The sequence below is a fragment of the Homo sapiens genome, chromosome 6, assembly GCF_000001405.40.
Source record: "Homo sapiens chromosome 6, GRCh38.p14 Primary Assembly".
Lineage (NCBI taxonomy): Eukaryota > Metazoa > Chordata > Mammalia > Primates > Hominidae > Homo > Homo sapiens.
Genome location: NC_000006.12, coordinates 47402170 through 47422024, shown reverse-complemented (window position 1 = coordinate 47422024; position 19855 = coordinate 47402170). Strand labels below are relative to the sequence as shown.

Sequence of the window (19855 nt, the reverse complement as noted above, 5' to 3'; positions counted from 1 at the left end):
GCTGACAGACCGGACAGACCCTGTCTTGTCTCAAAAACAGAGAAGCACGTTGAGGGAATAAAATATAAGCCAGTCTTGTTTTGTTTTAGAGACGGAGTCTCAAAATCCCATCCTGTCGCCCAGGCTGGAGTGCAGTGGCGCGATCTCGGCTCACTGCCACCTCCGTCTCCGGGGTTCAAGCAATTCTCCTGCCTCAGCCTTCCGAGTAGCTGGGACTACAGGCGCGCGCCACCACGCCCAACTTATATTTATATTTTTTAGTAGATACAGGGTTTCACCATGTTGGCCAGGCAGGTCTCGAATTCCTGACCTCAGGTAATCTGCATGTCTCGGCCTTCCAAAGTGCTGGGATTGCAAGCGTGAGCCACTGTGTATGGCCCAGTCTTGGTTTTATTACTGATTATCTACATAATTTCATTGATCTGTCCCGCTACTCCCCTTTTTTTCCCCAAATACCTTTTAGAATTGAGAGCAGAATATTAAACTTAAGGTAATAACTAATAAAAATGGTTGCTGAGTATATAAATATTTAAATTGACAGGCAATGGAGGAAAAAATTTTAGAATAATGAGAAATAAGGAAATACTTTGTCTTAATATAATTTTTACTACTTATTTTACTCACCCATATTAACATTATAATAAATTTTATTACCTGAGCACATGTTAACTTACGTTGCAGGGAGATAGTCCAGAAACAAAATGGTAGAGTGATGACATCACAAGGGCAAAATGGTTATGGAATGTTCATAGGCTGGGTATGGTGGCTCATGCCTGTGATCCCAGCATTTTGGGAGGCTGAGGCGGGCAGATCACTTGAAATGAGGAGTTCAAGACCAGTCTGGCCAACATGGTGAAAGACTGTCTCTACCAAAAAAAATACAAAAATTAGCTGGGTGTGGTGGCACACACCTGTAGTCCCAGCTACTCTGGGAGGCTGAGGTGGGGGGACTGTTTGAACCTGGGAATGGAGGTTGCAGTGAGCCTGGGTGACAGAGTGAAATACTGCCTCAAAAAAACAAAAAACAAGAAAAAAAAGGGAAGTTCAGCGTGGATTTATGCACAGAAATAATGGAGCATTAGCTATCAGTGCCAGTTGCTGGTATTTCAATTCTTTACTGGGAAACGTATCTACTATTTTGCAACACAGCTGAACAGGTTGAAGAAGATTCTAAATTAATACTTATCTACATCTTTCATAGGATAGAATATGTGAACTATAGAAGCACAGGTCTTGCTTTAAGGCTTCCTGGTGGTTCAGAGTTCTTAGTAAATATGTCTTGAGCCTCCCTTCCAGAAAAGGTTGTTTCCAGGAAGGCAAGTCTGAGAGCCAATGCAGTGAAATGCCTGCTTTGTTCAAGATAATTTCTGGAGGTCGAGATAAATTGGGTGGGTGTGAATATATTTACACAGCAGTCCATTCCAGGGGATGACTCAGAGTTTAGAAGGTTGGTCCTTCAGCCACCCACAGCTGTTTTCCTTGCAACTAAATATTTTAATTCTGATGCTATGATTAGTTGAGCATCTGATACAACACCTGGAAGCCATACTGCTTCCTAATAGCCCACTAGCCATTGAGCTGGTGGTGGGGAAGAGATAGAGGAGTCAAGAATCCCAGCTGCTCACTCTTCTACAGGACAGACAACAACGTACAGAATGCAAAGGAGAAAACTGAATGCCGGAGGCAGGGATGCTCTTTTTTTTTCTTAATAAGTTGATTAAGTATTTGCCAAGATGAAAAGCAGAAGATATTGAAGTTGAGTTCTACCATGGGAAACTTCAAGCCAAATTCAGCTAACAAAATACAAGGTTTTGGCAACATTGCTAAGCATACAATAAATAGTATATTTAATCAATATGTGTTGGCTTATTACTGCCTTTCTGTTTCGTTTTCCTGCCTTTCATCCATTTGTTATTCATTTGGGGGATAGTATCTCTAAGGAAAACTTATTACTATATTGTTTAAAAATAATGTAATAGCTAACTGAATAATCATTTGGGATATTTTTGGAGAAAAATGAGGAAAGAAAGCCAGAATTATCCAGTTCTTGAGAATCAAACAGAAATTAATTTGTATTTAATTGTCTTCTTCCTCTTTTTATTCTTGCTGTAGTTCTGGGAAGGGAGAGTCAACATGATCTAATTGTAAATGAGATTTGATTTGCTGGTTAATGATTATCCATGAAAAAGGAGGCTTTGCCAGGTTTATTCATACCCAAGGTATTTCTGGACAAGAAGCAGTCATAGCCAAAGCCAAGGAGCCTGATGATTAGGGGAAATTCCTCTTCTTTAATCAGATGTAAGGCATAATTATACATGATGTAGGAAAAGCATTTGAAAAGTGAATTGCTCTATGTACCTATCCCTTTATTTATTTCCTTTGCAGGAAACCTCATTGTTTTTAAACAGAGTGAAAAGAAAAGCCAATGTGGAGACAACTTTCTTTGGTTAAACTAGAAATGTGGAATTCTGAAATGTTCATGCCTGGCCTTCTTATTTAAAAAAATGGTTATCCTCCTCCTAGTGACTGATTGTAACAGTAATTTTTCATAAGACATCTTTAGGCTTAAAAACCCCCTTCCAGCATTTGAAGCTGAAAGGTAGAGATTTCTAAGCTCTTTTTATTTTCTTCTTCTTTAGAATTTTAAAAGTCAAACTCATTTTCTAAAGCTTTTTTCTCCAAAGTTCTAAAACTTTTAATGTGTTTTTATTGGTTTCTTACAAAACCCAGGAATGACCTGAGGTTAAAAGTGGTTTGAGATTTATTGCTAATTAGAGCTTAAATCAAGATTTTAGCCTATGTGCTTTTTTTCCCCTTCTAACATAGAAGGAAAAAACTTACATTTCTGAATCATATTTTGCTTTCTGGCATAATAACCAAATGACATTTAGGTATTTAAAAATGATTTTGTGGGTAGCTAGAAATAGCTGTACTGGGGACCAAATTAGGTATGTAATAGGATGAAATGGAATGTCTATGGATATCTATGCTTCTTAATTGATCTCAAACTACTTAAAAGTTAGCTTTTATCTGAGAATGAACATACTCTAATTTATGGCTTTCTCATATCCTTTATGAAGGATATCCTTATCTCTTAAATATTATAATCAATTTGCCCCTCAAAAGTCAGGAAGGTGATGCTGGAGTTAAAACCACTCATTTGTGCAGTAGTCAGACCTCATTGTTTAGTCACCACAGACTTCCGAATTATCACTCTCTACTTGCCATTGTATTAGTCTTTTTATCATGGCATGGGTAATTGACTAGAAATGTACAATGTGAATACAAATTTAAGATCACTATTAAAGATAAACTATTCCCCCTTGTCCTTGGCAAAACTATGCATAATATAATTGAGGCTTTATTTAGTTTTAAAATTCATTTATTTACGACATGAAAGAGAATGAAGTTGGACCTTTACCTTAGGCCATATGCAAAAATTATCTCAAAATGAATCAAATACCTAAATTAAGACCTAGAACTATGAAATTCTTAATCTGAAACCAGAAGAAGTTGGGCACAGTGGTGTGTACCTGTAATCCCAGCTATTTGAGAGGCTGAGGCAGGAGGATCACTGGTGCCTAGGAGTTTGAGCCTGGCCAACACAGAGAGACTCCATTTCAATTAAAACAAAACATAAAAACAGAAAACAGAGGAAAAGCCTCATAACATTGGATTTAATAATAATTTCTTGAATGACTTCACAAGCACAGGCAACAAAAGCAAGTAGATAAATTAGACTTCATCAAAATTAAAGCTACTGTGGATCAAAAGGACATTATGAAAGCAGGGAAAAGGTAACCCACAGAACAGGAGAGAGTATTTGTAAACTGTATCTGATAAGAGGTTAGTATCCAGAATTTATAAAGACCTCCTATGATATAACAATAACAAAAACCCAAATAATCCAGTTTTAAAATGGGCAAAAGGTTGGGTGCAGTGGCTCACATCTGTAATCCCAGCACGTTGGGAGGCCAAGGCAGGAGGTTCACTTGAGCCCAGGAGTTTGAGACCAGCCTGGGCAAGATGGCAAGACTCTGTCTTGAAAAAAATAAATAAATAAAATAAAATAAAATAAAAATGGGCAAAAACTTGAATTGACATTTCTACAAAGAAGATATATAAATTGGCCAATAAACAAATTAAATCATCGTTTGTTTGCTCATCATTAATAATTAAGGAAATTCCAATTAAAACCACAATGAGCTACCACTTTATGCCCATTAAGATGACTACAATAAAACAAACAAGCAAATAACAACAACAACAAAACAAACCCCTAAAAGTAGCAAGTCTTGGCAGGGAGAGAGAGAAATTGGAATCCTTGTGCATTGCTCGTGAAAATGTAAAATGGTGTGGTCACTATGGAAAACAGTGTAGTGGTTCCTTAAAAAGTAAAAATAAAATTACCACATAATCCAGCAATTCCATTTCTGAGTATATACCCCCAAAAAATTGATAGCAAAGAGAGACTTGAACAGACACTTGTACACCAATGTTCATAGTAGCATGATTTACAATAGCCAAAAGGTGGAAGCAACCCAAATGTCCATCAATGACTAAATGGGTAAACAAAATGTAGTATATACATACGATGAAATATTATTCAGCTTTAAAAAGGGATGAAATTATAACAGATGCTACATCATGGGTGAACTGTGAAGATATTATGCTATGTGAAATAAGCCAGATAGAAAAGGAAATGTATGATTCCATTTACATGAGGTACTTAGAATAGTCAAATTCATAAGGAAGGAAAGTAGAATGGTGGTCACCAGGGGCTGAGAGAAGGAGAAATGGGGAGTTTCTGCTTGATGGGTGTAGAGTTTCACTTTGGGGTCATGAAAGACTTCTGGGGATGCATGGTGGTGATGATTGCACAACAATGTGAATGTACTTGATGCCACCGAACACTTAAACATGGTCGAAATGCTAAATTTTATGTATATTTTACTGCAATAAAAATGCATTTTTATATATTATTAATTTGGATTTTACTAAAAGCAGACACTGTGAGACAAGAATTTGAGAGTAATTAGTTTATTTGGTATTGAAATAGGTTTTGCAAAGATTACGACAGTGAGAGAAATCTAACATGGCTGACTCCATCTTGCTTTTGGCTTCACAGGCTGGCTGTCTTTGATCATTCTGGGCATAGGACAAGCTAACTATGGGAGGAATTTAGTCTATAGTTTAACTTGAAAGCAAGGATGATAGTAGCCCTTCCCTGGAACTAACCACTCCTTGCTCAAGGGTGGAAAACTAACAAAAGGCCATGAGGCTAAGATTATAGAAGGCCCTGAAGTCTGCTAATATGTAGGCGTAGTTTCCATAATCATTTACTGCTCAGGAGTCATGTAGCCAGAGGTCACAAAATTTGTGACTTTCCCAATTGCTCCCAAAGATAACATGACTATTGTAAAACCTAAGAGTGGTCTTTTGAGATATTTTTCAGGTTTTTGCACTGCAGCAACTGACTGACCCTACCAGACCTGTGACTCATGACTTAACTGGTCCTGTGACCCCCACCTCTCAGAGGCTGACTTAAGGCTTGAGCACCATCTCCCACACCCCAATAATTTCACTTCCAACCAATCAGCTGTATCAATTCCCTAGCCCCCTGCCCACCAAATTATCCATAAAAACCATAGGGTCTGAGTTCTAAGGGAGACTGATTTGAGTGATAGCTCCACTTCTTCTGCCTGGCCAGCTTTTTGTTAATTAAACTCTTTCTTTACTGCAATACCATGGTCCCAGTGAATTGGTTTTGTCTGTGCCGCTGGCAGGAAGAACCTGTTGGGTGATTACAGTATCTCAAGAAATACTGTTAGTGAGTGGGCAAGAGAGGCAAGGAATTGAAGACTAATAAATGGTCTGTGTTATCAAGCCAGTTACTGTAATGGACAATTGGAACTTAATCCAGCTGGCAACTCTGGAGATCCAGAATAACACAAACCTCAGAGCTATTTCCTCAGTGGGGTGAATGAGCTGAAGTCTTGCCTCACCAGTTCCCATCAGTCATTTTTTAAGGAATACTTCCCAGATATCTGTTCATTTCCCTAAGCCTGGTGCAGCAAAGTGCACTCCAGTGGTCAGAGAAAATCTTTGGGCAAAGGGACCCTGATGCTGGCAGGTGGACATCATAAAGGCTGAGACATTGGCAGCATCTACCTTTATTTATTTATTTATTTATTTTTTACAGACAGGATCTTTCTCTGTCACCTCTGCTGGTGTGCAGTGACATGATCACAACTTACTGCAGCCTTGACTTCCTGGATTCAAGCAATCCTCCTGCCTCAGCCTTCCTAGTAGCTGGGACAACAGGCATGTGCCACCATGCCTGGCTAATTTTTTTATTTCATTTTATTTCTTTATTTTTTGTAGAGATGAGATCTTGTTGGGTTGCCCAGGCTTTGATAATATATTTAATTTAGACTTTTTTCTCTCTACTAATTCAAACCAGACCAGCATTAATTAATTTAAATTGGAAAATATTTCTTGATTATGCAGATCTTGAATAGCATACTATAGAACATATGGAATGTGCAGTATATATTAGACATCATGCCATACCCTTCCTGTGACTGCCCGTGTCTCTAGCCTGTAGCATGGTCAGCTTTGGACCAAGTCTTCACTTTGCAATGGACTCTTCATCCCCCACTCTAGTAAGAAAGAGCACACAATGGCCTTTCTTTTTGAGGAAGAAAAACTTGGGTGGAAAATCTGGGTTTTCTTCCAAATGTCATTAAATATCATTTAATTCATTTTGTATCCTCAAACATTCCACATATATCAACAGCTTTTCCTGTAAATATTAAATAAAAGGAGGTAAGAAAAAACAGGAGGCAATGGCAGTGGAGAAATCTCTTGGAGGAAAGCTGAGAGCACAGTCCCCGTGACTGAGAGTTTCAGAGGGTTGGCAGAGCCATGAAGAACAAAGTGAAACTGTGGCTGTCGAGCAGTGAGAATGATCAAGGCTTTTATTTACATTCCAGTGAAATCTAGGGACAACTCTCATTGTGCGACTATTTATGGTGGAATTGTTTGAAACTTTGCAACTTTCTCTTTGGTGTTTTTACCCACTTCCTGTTTCTTGTTGTGATTAACAGTAAAACGAAACCTAATCACACAAAAAGCTTTTAGGAAACCATAAACCGGTAATATGGTTTCAAGGTGATCTTGGGGTCACATAAATTCTTCTGATGCCTCGGGCGCTGGAGAAGATGAAAATCTTTATGGAAACACCACTGAAAATGGAAGCCGATGGTCCCACCTCAATAACAAGGGAATAAGGAGCTTACCACACCTTTTATCCTTGACACCCATTGGGCTACAAGTTTCCAGTCTGGCTTACAGCTGAAGAAATTTCCACCACGTAGACAATGGGAAGACAAGAAAATGGTCTGTTGGCATGCTAAGTTGAAATCAAAACCTTCTCCATGGAAACGTTTTGAAACGTTATGTTTAGATTCTAAGGTGCTGACAGTAAAGTTGCAGTTTAAAGAGGTTTTATGGTCTGAAGACGGTAAATAGTAAATGCCTTACCATTTCTCGCTTTTGAGACCTAATCCATTTTTATGTCAAGAAATTCCGTATATGTAAGATTTAGTGAGTGCAAAGAATGTCAGCAACCATTGTGGAGATTTTGCATTCTGTCTGCCTGCCTGGCTTGTATTCTTAGATGCACGTATACATTTAAACATGTATAAACTTATACATGCCCTTCCTGAGGTAAGAATACTTGACTGAAAACTGTGGTATATAGGAATAAGTTATTCAAACTAATTGTGTACTTAATCCTATACAACCCTTTTCTCTCATCTCAGAAGAGGACTGTCTTGGGTTGGTGTTGCCATCTAGTGGCCAATATGGGAAACTGGCAAATGCATGACTTCTTCCTTTTCCTTCTTTCTTCCTCTCTCATTAGCGTGAAGAACTTGGTATACACCCGACCTTCTTTCAGATACTCATCATGAACAGCTTAGCAAAAGCCTCTAAAGATAATGTCTTTCTTACACAGATGGATAGACACAACACACACACAGACAACACACACACACAGACAACACACACACACAAACTCTCTCTCTCTCTTTCAAGCCCCTTTCACTTACAACCTTCCCTCCCAACTGTTGCTAATTGTATCTGTCTGGGTCTCCCACAAGGCAATTTTGTCATCTGCATTCTCTCTCCTTCTTGTTGTTGTTAATTTGTGAACCCCTTCACTCAAATTAATAAAAGCCGTATTTTTTTTATTTTTTATTTTTTGTGAGGCAGAGTCTCTCTTTGTCACCCAGGCTGGAGTGCAGTGGCACAATCTCAGCTCACAGCAACCTCCACCTCCTGGGTTCAAGTGATTCTCCTGCCTCAGCCTCCTGAGTAGCTGAGATTAGAGGCATGCACCACCATGCCCAGCTAATTTTTGTGTTTTTAGTAGAGACACGGTTTCACCATGTTGGCCAGGCTGGTCTTGAACTCCCGACCTCAGGTGATCTGCCCGCCTTGGCCTCCCAAAGTGCTGGGATTACAGGCATGAGCTACCACATCTGGCCAAAAGCCATATGTTTTCCGAAGTAATTGGACACGCTGAAACTAATGTTGTAAACTTTAAAACTTTTGTGGAGCCCCAGAAGTGTCCTTTTAGAATCTCTAAAAGGTTTACAGGGAGTTCCTTCTTACCTCTCAATTAGATAGAGCTGCTTTTGTCAATTGCCAGTATTTAAGGCAAAATTTTAAAATCACTTAATGTATTTGTACTTGCTTACATTTGCCAAAGTAAAACTGGTAGGGCAAGCCAAAAACTAATAAAAATGATTTTCTGTGGGGATGGGAGAGAACGGGGTCTAGGACAGGAATAGAAGAGAGACTTCTCTGTTTATAGTTTGTTTTTAAAGATAGCTTTTTTGGTGAATAAAATTCACTCGTTTAAAGCTTACAACTCAGTGATTTTTATTTTTATTTATTTATTTTTTAGAGACAGCGTCCCCTCTGTTGCCCAGTGGAGTACAGTGAAGTGATCATAGCTCACTGAAGCCTCAAACTTCTGGGATCAAGTGATCCTCCTGCCACAGCCTCCAGAGTAGCTGGAACTACAGGCATGCACCACCACACCAGGCTAATTTTTATTTTTATTTTTGTAGAGATGAGGGCTCACTATGTTGCCCAGGCTGGTCTTGAATTCCTAGCCTTAAGCCATCCTCTTGCCTTGGCTTCTCAAAGCATTGGGATTACAGGTGTGAGCTACCATGTGTGGCCAATTCAGTGACTTTTTAGCAGACTTATAAAGTTATATGACCATCACTACAATCTAATTTTAGAACATTTTCTTCAGCCCAAAAAGAAACTTTGCCCTCACTTACAGTCACTTCCCATTCCCACCCCATGCCTCAAACTCCTGGGCTCAAGTGATCCTCCCACCTCAGCCTCCTGAGCATCTGGGACCACAAATGTGTGTTACCACACCTGGCTAACTTTTATAAAATAATGTTTTTTGTAGAGATGGAACCTTGCAATATTGCCCAGGCTGGTCTTGAACTCCTGGCCTCAATCAGTTCTCCCACCTCAGCCTCTCAAAGTGCAGGGATTACAGGCATAAGTCACTGTGCCCAGCCAATAATAATGTTTTAATATCGGCCTATTAATTGTAAGAAATATACCATACGAATGCAAGATGTTAATAACAGAGGAAATTAGTAAATGAGATATATAGAAACTCTCTGTCCTATCTTCACAAGTTTTCTATGACTCAAAAAGTATTCTGAAATCAAAAGTTTATTTTAAAAGCCTATCTTTCCTCCATTGAATTGCTTTTTTATTTTTGTCAAAAATCAACCAGGCATATTTATTTAGGTCTTTTTCTGAGTGCCTTTTTCTGGCCCATTGATATATGTGTCTATACCTCTGCCATTACCACACAGGTTTGCTTACCGTTTTTATATAATGTCTTGAAACTGGGTAGACTGATATTTCCCACTTTATTCTCCTTTTTCAAAATTGTTTTAGCTAGTCTAATTTCTTTGCCTTTCCATAAATTTTAAAACAGTTTTGTCTAAATCTATTTAAAAAATCTGGTTAGGCTATTGATAGGATTTGCTATTTGTGTATCAATTTTTCTACCTGTTCAAATGGGGAGAAGCAACATCTCTATTATATTGAGTCTTTTAATACATGAACATGATATGTCTCTCCATTTATTTAGATATTCTTTGATTTCTTTCATTAGCATTTTGTAGTTTTCAGCATACAAGTCCTGTCTTGTCTGTTAGATTTATACTTAAGCATCTTATTTTGGAAGAGCAATTGTCAATGGTACTGTATTTTAAAAATTGGTATCCATGTGTATAATTGATTTTTGTATCTTTATTTTGTATCCTATGATGTTGCTGAACTCATGTATTAGTTTAAGGAGGACTTTTTTGTGTGTGTAGATTCCTTGGGATTTTTCTACGTAGAGCATCATGTCATCTGCAAATATGAGCTGTTTTATTTCTTCCTTTCTAATCTGTATGCCTTTTATTACCTTTTGCTTTGGCTAGAGCTATATCAAATAAGTGAGGTGAGAACAGATATTCTTGCTTTGTTCCCTGTCATAGGCAGAAAGCATTAAGCCATTCATTAAGTATAATGTTAAGTGTAGTTTTTTTTTTTCTTTTTTTTTTTGACATGGAGTTTCACTCTTGTTGCCCAGGTTGGAGTGCAATGGCGAAATCTTGGCTCACTGCAGCCTCCACTTCCCAGATTCAAGCACTTCTCCTGCCTCAGCCTCCTGAGTAGCTGGGATTACAGATGCCTGCCACCACATCTGGGTAATTTTTTTTGTATTTTTAGTAGAAACGGGGTTTCGCCATGTTGGCAAGGCTGGTCTTGAACTCCCAGCCTCAGAAAGTGATCCGCCTGCCTCGGCCTCCCAAAGTGCTGGGATTAGAGGCGTGAACCACCGCACCCAACCAAGTATAGTTTTTGTAGATGCTCTTTATCAAGTTGAAAAGGTTTCCCTCCACTCTTATTTTTCTGAGGGTGTTAAATTATTGTGAAGTGTATTTTTTGAATCAATTGATATGATCATGTTATTTTTCTTGCTTAACCTGTTAATATGATATTATATTAATGGATTTTCCAATGTTGCACCAACCTTACATCCCTGGAATAAACTCCAATAGGTCATGATGTATAATTCTTTTCATGTGTTGCTATGTTCTATTTGCTAATGTTTTCATAAAGAGTTTTGTGTCTGTATTAATAAGGGATATTTGTTTGTAGTGTTCTGTTTAATACTGTTTTTGTCTTATGTTGCTATCAGGTAATACTCATTTCATAAAATAAATTGGGAAGTGTTTCCTCTTTTAGTTCTGAATGAGATTGTATAGAATTCGTGTCAAGTCTTTAAATGTTTGGTAGAATTTTTCAGTGAAAATAGAGTTTTTTTGGGGGGAGATAATTAAGATTTAATTTTCTTAATAGTTACAGGGCTATTTAAGTTCTCTATTTTGTATTGGGGTAGTTAGGGTAGTTTGTGTTATTTAATGGTCCATTTCATCTAAATTGTCAAATTTATATGTGTAGAGTGGTCTGTAGTATTCCCTGGTTATCCTTTTGATGTCTGAAGGGTCTGTAATTCATACCCTTGTTTCATTCCTGATGTTGGTAATTTGTATCCTTTCTCTTTGTTTCTTTGCCTGTCTTGCTAGAGGATTGTCAATTTTATTGATCTCTTCAAAGAACAAGCTCTTTTTTTCATTGATTTTCTGTATTATTTTTTGTTTTTAATTTCATGGATTTCTGTTCTTATCTTTATTATCTCCTTTCTGCTTGCTTTGAGTTTATTTATTTTAATTTTTATTTATTTATTTTTTAGTGTAACTTTTTTTTTTTTGTGAGATGGCGTCTCGCTCTGTCACCCAGGCTGGAGTGCAGTGCCGCGATCTCGGCTCACTACAAGCTCCGCCTCCCGGATTCACGCCATTCTCCTGTCTCAGCCTCCCGAGTAGCTGGGACTACAGGCGCCCGCCACCATGCCCGGCTAATTTTTTGTATTTTAAGTAGAGATGGAGTTTCACTGTGTTAGCCAGGATGGTCTTGATCTCTTGACCTTGTGATCCGCCCGCCTGGGCCTCCCGAAGTGCTGGGATTACAGGCGTGAGTCACCACGCCGGGCCTTAATTTTTATTTTTTTTGAGATGAAGTCTTGATCTGTCACCCAGGCTGGAGTGCAGTGGCATGATCTCGGCTCACTGTAACCTTTGCCTCCCGGGTTCAAGTGATTCTCTTGCCTCAGCCTCCCGAGTAGCTGGGATTACAGGTGCGTGCCACAATACCCCAGCTAGTTTTTGTATTTTTAGTAGAGATGGGGTTTCACCCTGTTGGCCAGGCTGGTCTCAAACTCCTGACTTCAAGGGATCCGCCTGCCTCGGCCTCCCAAAGTACTGAGATTACAGGCGTAAGCCACCAAGCCCAGTCGTTGCTTTGGCTTTATTTTGTTTTTTATTTTTCCCTAGGTCTTTTGAATTTTGGGGAAAAATTTTAATATATTAAGTTTTGGCCATTAAGGGCTTAAATAATGTTGAATTATAATTAGCTGCACAAGTAAATCTGTGGGTTTCTTTTTTTCTGCCTCACTTCAAATCAGCCTGATAAGGAATGTATCTTTCTCCAAACATTCCTCATTTTGCAGGTTCCCATTCCCAGAGTTAGCTTAGAGATTTTTCTAATTGAGGAGGTAGCTTAGAGATTTTTCTTTCCTAATGTATGTTTTGAGATTTTCCTCTTTGCTGATGTGTGGATTTAGTCTATAAATTTCCCTCTCGGCATTGCTTTAACTGTATCTTACACATTTTGATATGTTGTATTTTCATTTTTATTCGGTTGAATTAAAAAAAATTCTCTTTAGAATTCTTCTTCATACAAGTATTATTTAGAAGTGTGTTGTTTAGCATTTAGATGTTTGGCGATCTTTCTGCTATTATTCTGTTATTGATTTCTAGTTTGATTCTATTGTGGAGAACACACTCTATATAATTTTAATTGTTTTACATTGCCAAATAGTATTTCACTGAAAGAATATACCACATTATGTTTATCCATTCATCAGCTGATGAATGTTTGCATGTCATATGGTAGTGAATTTGGAATCATGTAAATGTTTTACGAATTCTAAAAGAAAAAGAAAAAAGTAATTTCTAAAATTTAAAACATTTTAGAAATTCCTAAATTCCTAAGTTCCTAAATTTGTTGTGGTGAGGGTTGCACAACTTTACATTAAAAAACATTAAATTGAGTAAGTTGTATAGTATATGAATTCCTTATCAATAAAGCTGCTATGAAAAAAGTGGAGTGGGATATAGGAGATCACACCTGCAATCCTAGAGCTTTGGGAGGCCAAGGTGAAAGGATTGCTTGAGGCCAGCTTGAAGTTTGAAACTAGACCAGGCAACACAACAAGACCCTGTCTCTACCAAAAAAAAAAAAAAAAAAAAAATTAGCTGAGTGTGGGTTGCTTGCCTGTATTTCCAGCAATTCTGGAGGCAGAAGTGGGAGGATCACTTGGAGCCCAGGAGTTCAAGGCTGCTGTGAGCTAAATTTTTGTTTATGTTAAAAATTATTTACAAAATTATCTTGGGCCAATGTATAATATCTGGATTCCTGCTAGAATTCAAAGAGCTCAAAACTTTGCGAAATTTTAAAGCAGGATGTGTTATTCTATTTTGGGGACTCTGTTATCTGCCATTAATCCACATGTCTATTTTTACCAAGATGTCAAATCTTAGGGATTTATTATGACCTCAGAACTGAAGTGCTAGTAGAAAGTTAGCTTTTTAAAACATGCAGCTTGTGGAAGATGCATGACTAAGGAAATAACTAAATCTCTTAAGATAACAATTTTCAGATGATTCTACATCCCCCAGAATCTCTTATCTGATTTAAGTTCCTTAGTAAATCAAAATATTTGTTCTTAGGTTGACAACAAACTTGGAGGGTTTCAACACATGAGATCTTAAATAGCTCTGGGACACTCCAGATTATGTGAAGCAAAACAAAACAAGATAAAAAATAACTACAATGTCCCCAGGGTGTTATAAAATTATAAAAGGAGCTTTTATTTGCTTAGTTATATATTTCTGACTAACCCTATTTACAGAAATAATTCTGAAAGCAGCATTTATGACCTGCTGAGACATCATACAAATATGACTCAAGTATTATGCCAAAGGCTCTTGATTTCAGTTTGTTATCAGGAATTTAAGTGCTTTTTAAAAATTTTTTCTTGGCAGCTATTGCTCTTGCTGATACCATCATGGCTGCCATCTCTTCCACCTGCTCCTCCCTCTTGATTAAGTTGTGTGTGTGTATGATTTGAGGAGATGGTGAAAGCAAAGCATTGTGCTGGGTCCCCTTAATAACAGCTTAGTAACAAATACAAGGCATCTTTATCCTAGATGGAGTTTCATGGACCTCCTGTCTGTTGTGCTCAATGTAATCTAAAAAAGTATTCTTGAGGAAGCTTAGGAACATGTCTTAGGCATTCACATGTTTAATAATTAACTCTCTTCCTCTTCTCTACACCCATATGACAAAGCAAAATTTGTAAATCATTTTAACTGAGTAATTGAGAATGTATGTAAGACATTCTTAAGTGACATAGGCCTTGCTCTGTCTCTCCACAGAGCTCCTAGGTAGGATCACCATAGAAAGCGCCTTGTTAGATTCCATCCTCATCTGTTTTTTCCTGCTGTAACCAAATACCACAGACTGGACAATTTATAATGAACAAAAATTTATTGGCTCCCAGTTCTGGAGGCTATGAAGTCCAAGACTTAGGGGCCAGAATTTGGCAAGGGTCTTCTTGCTATGTCATTTCATGGCAGAGGGCAAAGCGATGGCAAGAGATAGAGAAAGGGGTCAAACTCATTTCATAAGGAAGCCACTGCTGTGATAACAAACCCACTCTCATGATAATGGCATTAAAAAATTCATGAGGGTAGAGCCTCATGACCTAATCACCTCTTAAAGATCTCCCCTCTCAACATCTCTACACTGGGGATCAAGTTACCAACAGGTGAACTTGGGGGTCACATTCGAACCATAGTCAATCCCTATGACCTAGAGTGTATATGGTCCTTAGGAATGGAGACTGAGCAGGTGATATTAATTAGTAAGCAAAGTATTTGAATGTCTCTTAAAGATTGGCATTTCTTAGTATTTTCCTGCCACCTTCTTTCCCTCAGCACATTCATTTTAATAGTTTCAGTATCTATCTATATGTTGATGACTGTCAATTATATAATTTCAATGCAAAACTCTTTCCTGAGATACAGATTTATATAATCAAATAACTATTCGTCTTAGTTAGTTTGGGTTACTATAATAAAAATGCCATAGAATAGGTGGCTTAAACAATTTAAATTTATTTCTCACAGTCCTGGATACTGAGAAGTCCAAGATCACTGTGACAGTCTATTTGGTGCTGTTAGGACCTGTCTCCTGGCTTGCAGATGATCACCTTCCTGGTGTATCCTCACATGAGACAGAGATCATCTGTCTTGTCTCTTTTTTTTTTTTTTTTTTTTTTTTTTTTTGAGACAGGGTCTTGCTCTGTTGCCCAGGTTAGAGTACAGTGGTGTAATCATGGCTCACGGCAGCCTTGATCTCTCAGGCTCGGATGATCCTCTTGCTTCAGCTTCCCAAGTGGCTGGGACATGGCCATGTGCCACCACACCTGGCTAATTTTTTGAAATTGTTATTTGTAGAGATGAGGTCTCCCTATATTGCCAGGCTGATCACAAACTCCCGGCCTTATATGATCCTTGCATCTTAGCCTTCCAAAGTGCTGGGATTACAATGTGAGCCACCATGGCTGGCATCTGTTTCTTCTTATAGGGACACCAGTCTCATTAATGAGGGCTCTCCCTTCATGACCTAATTATCTTTGAAAGGCCTCACCTTCAAATAGGGAATTAGGCTTCAACATATGAATTTTGAGGAACACAAACATTCAGACCCTAGCATTGTTAGACAGCTCATCTTGGATATCATGTAGCAACCCTACAGAATTTATCATTGCTTTCCTTCCTTCCCAAAGTGCTAATGCTTTAGAAGGTGTTTCTTATCCTACTAGATGACACAACCATCCACTCAATTTCTCAAAGCAGATATCAGAATTTACATCTTCTTTCCTGCATCATTTCACCACCATATACATCCATTCACTTTCTTCCTCAATATATCCAGAATTCATCTAATTCTTTTCATGTCTGCTGCCAGTGCCTTTATCTTCACTGCCACTCTAAACGTCTTCTTAGACTTCTCCTGGCCTCTGGTCCTGCCCCTTTCTACTTTCTAACTGCAGTTAGAAAGGTCTTTCTAAAACACAAATTTCGTCCCCCGCTTGGCCTCTCCCACAGGTCCTTTATTGCCTTCTAAATAAACATCCACTCTGGGATCTGAAATTCTCACTGCCCTTTACGCTGTCTGGCCCTCTGCCCAGTTTCACCCACCTCACTCTTAACCTTAAGGTTTGAATCTACTACTTCCTTTGGGAAACATTTCCTGAATTCCTCAGACCAGGTGAGCTACTCTTCTGTTCCCACAGCTTGTCGTACTTATCCTTTATAACACTCATACTATTTTATGTTTACTTGTCTGTCTTCTTTATTAGACAAGTTCCTTGTTATAGGGAACTTTGTCCAGTTCAGCATTGCAATACAACTACCCAGTAGGTGTTCTGTAAATATTTATTAAATGAATGACTAAACGGATCCACCTCAACAAAATCATCAGCATGATAAATAGTATGCGTTTGTACCCTATAGCTACAGCATAAAACATGAAATAGGAAAATTTTACCAGTATGATTTTGTGATGCTGAAGAACAGAATTGTGAGCCATGAATGGCAACATATGATTCTTGCTATACTCAGAAAGAATTGAAATGAAGCATACAAAGCATATGGGATGATTTATACATTCATTAACAAACAAGTAATGAGGCCCTACTGCGTGCCAGGCCTTGTAAGGGCCTTTGGAAGTATGAAGACGAGTAAGACCTGGTGACTGTTCAGCAGGAGTTCAAAGTTGAGTGGATGATAGATTCATAGAACACTAAAGCTGGAGGAAACAGAAAGGAAATTCAATCTAGCCCCCGGATTTTACAAAGACATGGATGATTTCTACAATGCCTTCCAAATTACTCAATAATTATATAAAAAGAAAATGTTTTTCCTTTAAACACCAACACTTTTCCCCACCTCCAATTAATCTGTGTCCTTAAAAAGGAGCACTGTATCAGTGCGATTGAGATCACAGCCAACATAAGCTCATCTTAGAAGGAAAAAAAAATGTATGATTTGTCAAAGCTGCCTGGAAGGGAAAATTTCTGTTTAAAATCCTGGCATTGGGCCAGGTGCGGTGGCTCATGACTGTAAGCCCAGCACCTTTGGAGGCCGAAGTGGGTGGATAGCTTGAGCCCAGGAGTTTGAGATCAGCCTAGGCAACACGACAAAACCCAGTCTCTGCAAAAAAAATAGAAAAAATTAGCCAGGCATGGTGGTGCATGCCTGTAGGCCCAGCTACTTGGGAGGCTGAGGCAGGAGGATCACTCGAGCCTGGAAGGTTGAGGCCTCAAGGAGCTGTGATCACGCCACTGTTTGCACAATAGAGCAAGACCCTGTCTAAAATAAAATAAAATAAAATAAAAATCCTGGCATCATAAATGCTTTAGGAAAAAAAACCTGTCTGCATAAAAGAATTCAAAATGATCGTTAATTAAACTCATCAAGCTATGTTTGCAGGATATGGAAAGAATTTGATTACACAACCATTTGACACAGGTATCTCATTGACCAGAAACTGGTTTTAAGAGTCTACCTCAGTTAGGGTAGTATTATTAAGTTTGAATTGGTTTTTTAATGAACATTTTAGGACTTTCAGTAAAATGACCATTGTGCACATTTTGATGTGTTGAAGTCAGTCAAAGATAGGCCAACTGGTTTTCCCCAGGTGAGATATGAGGAGGTGGATGGTCAAAGGTTGTTTTTCTTGGATGAAACAGGGCTTATTCACGGGGTGTGTGCTGCACCATGGAGACGAGAGTAAGGCAGCCTAGAATTAAAAGGTTGAAAATATCCACATCTTCAAGTCAGAAAACTAAAAATGTTCACTTTATGGAGGACAACTGGTACCTTAAATATCTTGATTTCACTCACATGCCACCTGTTTCCTGGAGCTCTGAACAACCATAGGTGGGGCCTCACACATGCTATTTTTACATTTAGAGGGTCATTGACCTTAAGAGACATCACACGTGCAGAAAGTTATAGTGTGGAGTTTAAATAGATTGGTCATTGATGATGGTTGCTGCATAATCATACTATTACATATGCACACATATACATATTACTATTACATATACATTATTACTTATATACGTTACCATTACAAACACATATTACTGTTATATATGTATGTTACCTATGTATAGATACATGTACATTATTACCTATACATATTACTCATATATACATACATGTACATTATTTTAACTACTGATAGCAATTTTAGTAACAAATCAGAGCTATCCCTCAATCAAACTTGGGACATGATTTTCCCTGCCTTTTTGATTTTATAGTTAGTGAGAGGAGAAAAAAATAGTTTTTAGCAGAGTGACAGTGATACTGTTTCTTCAAGTAGAAAAGTCAAAAGTTCCATCTCATTTCAGAAATGCAGACGGCTTTTCATTTATATGTTGATTTCATGTGATCTGGAATGCAACGGAATTTAAATTAGACATGCTCATGGAAGAGAGAACAAAACACCCTGCATTTTCTAATTATATAAGCACTGAGGCTTGGATGATAGATGATGGGAAAAAACTCTCTAGGCAGAAATTGTGATGTGATTTCTTATTGCTCACAGCACTTATTACCTTACACATGTATGCTGAAACTTGTGCCTTCTTTCCTTCTATTATTGAATCCAGTCATTTTTCCTCTGCTATTCTCTACTTTTTTCATGCATATGAGGTTTATTTTCCTGTCTCAACTGTCAGGCTTCTAGAGATTAAGGACTAACAATACATTGAAAAAAATGATAACTTACTTTATTCTTACGTGTTGCATTTGAGGCTGTTTACTATTTTATGCAATCATAGAAATATGTATGATTTTGAATCTGTTTACAAGTATAATTCTCTCAGATTTGGAACTATTACCCCAGTTTTCTAATTGGGGAAACAGAGGCTTACTGTGCATATATAACTTGCCCAAGTTCTCACTGCTGATCTGTAGTGAGGCCAGGATTAGAAGCCAGAGTTTCACTCCAGAGCCTGTATTCTTTCCTCCATCACACACTCCCTCTGTAAGCTCTACACTTTCTCCCCTAGCCTCAACAACCTCAACATTTAACAGAGGACTCAACCGATGGCGATTAGTCTACAGATGCTTGTGGAATTGAGGCGCACCCTAATGTAAACTTCTTCACTATATAAAGTGGACAGGCCTTCAAAGGAAGCGGAAAACAAAGCGGACACATGAACAAAAAGGTGTCACCTGGGACCTAAACACCACACATTGCTTTCCTCAACACTTCCAGCCCAAAGGAGGAAAGACTTCAAAATTAATTCTGCATAAGTGGGAAAAAGAACTCAAAGCAAATATTGCCAACTGACTTGAGAGACAGCTAGGAGAGGATTTGGCTCCAACTGAGCAGACACTCAATTTTGGCATCCATCCAGCTCAGAACTAAGGTCAGTTGTTTAAAACTGGGTCTCAAGAAAAGCCTGAGTGTCGCAAGTGATTATCTTCAAACTTCCCCGACATCTCGGGGGACCCAGTATTAGATTTAGAGTGCTTTCCCTGAGAGTATT

General features: G+C 38.3%; 4 annotated features.

Annotated features, from left to right (window-relative positions):
* Positions 1111–1624: a transcriptional cis regulatory region, noted in NCBI's record as "candidate enhancer chr6.3292 targeted for multiplex CRISPR interference". NCBI's record gives its function as "positively regulates CD2AP gene expression with high confidence in K562 cells {active_cell/tissue: K562}" and the evidence as "EXISTENCE:mutant phenotype evidence [ECO:0000015][PMID:30612741]".
* Positions 7324–7373: an enhancer, noted in NCBI's record as "active region_24662". NCBI's record gives its function as "activates an Ori minimal core promoter by ATAC-STARR-seq in GM12878 lymphoblastoid cells {active_cell/tissue: GM12878}" and the evidence as "EXISTENCE:reporter gene assay evidence [ECO:0000049][PMID:35858748]".
* Positions 7876–7935: an enhancer, noted in NCBI's record as "active region_24661". NCBI's record gives its function as "activates an Ori minimal core promoter by ATAC-STARR-seq in GM12878 lymphoblastoid cells {active_cell/tissue: GM12878}" and the evidence as "EXISTENCE:reporter gene assay evidence [ECO:0000049][PMID:35858748]".
* Positions 7946–7995: an enhancer, noted in NCBI's record as "active region_24660". NCBI's record gives its function as "activates an Ori minimal core promoter by ATAC-STARR-seq in GM12878 lymphoblastoid cells {active_cell/tissue: GM12878}" and the evidence as "EXISTENCE:reporter gene assay evidence [ECO:0000049][PMID:35858748]".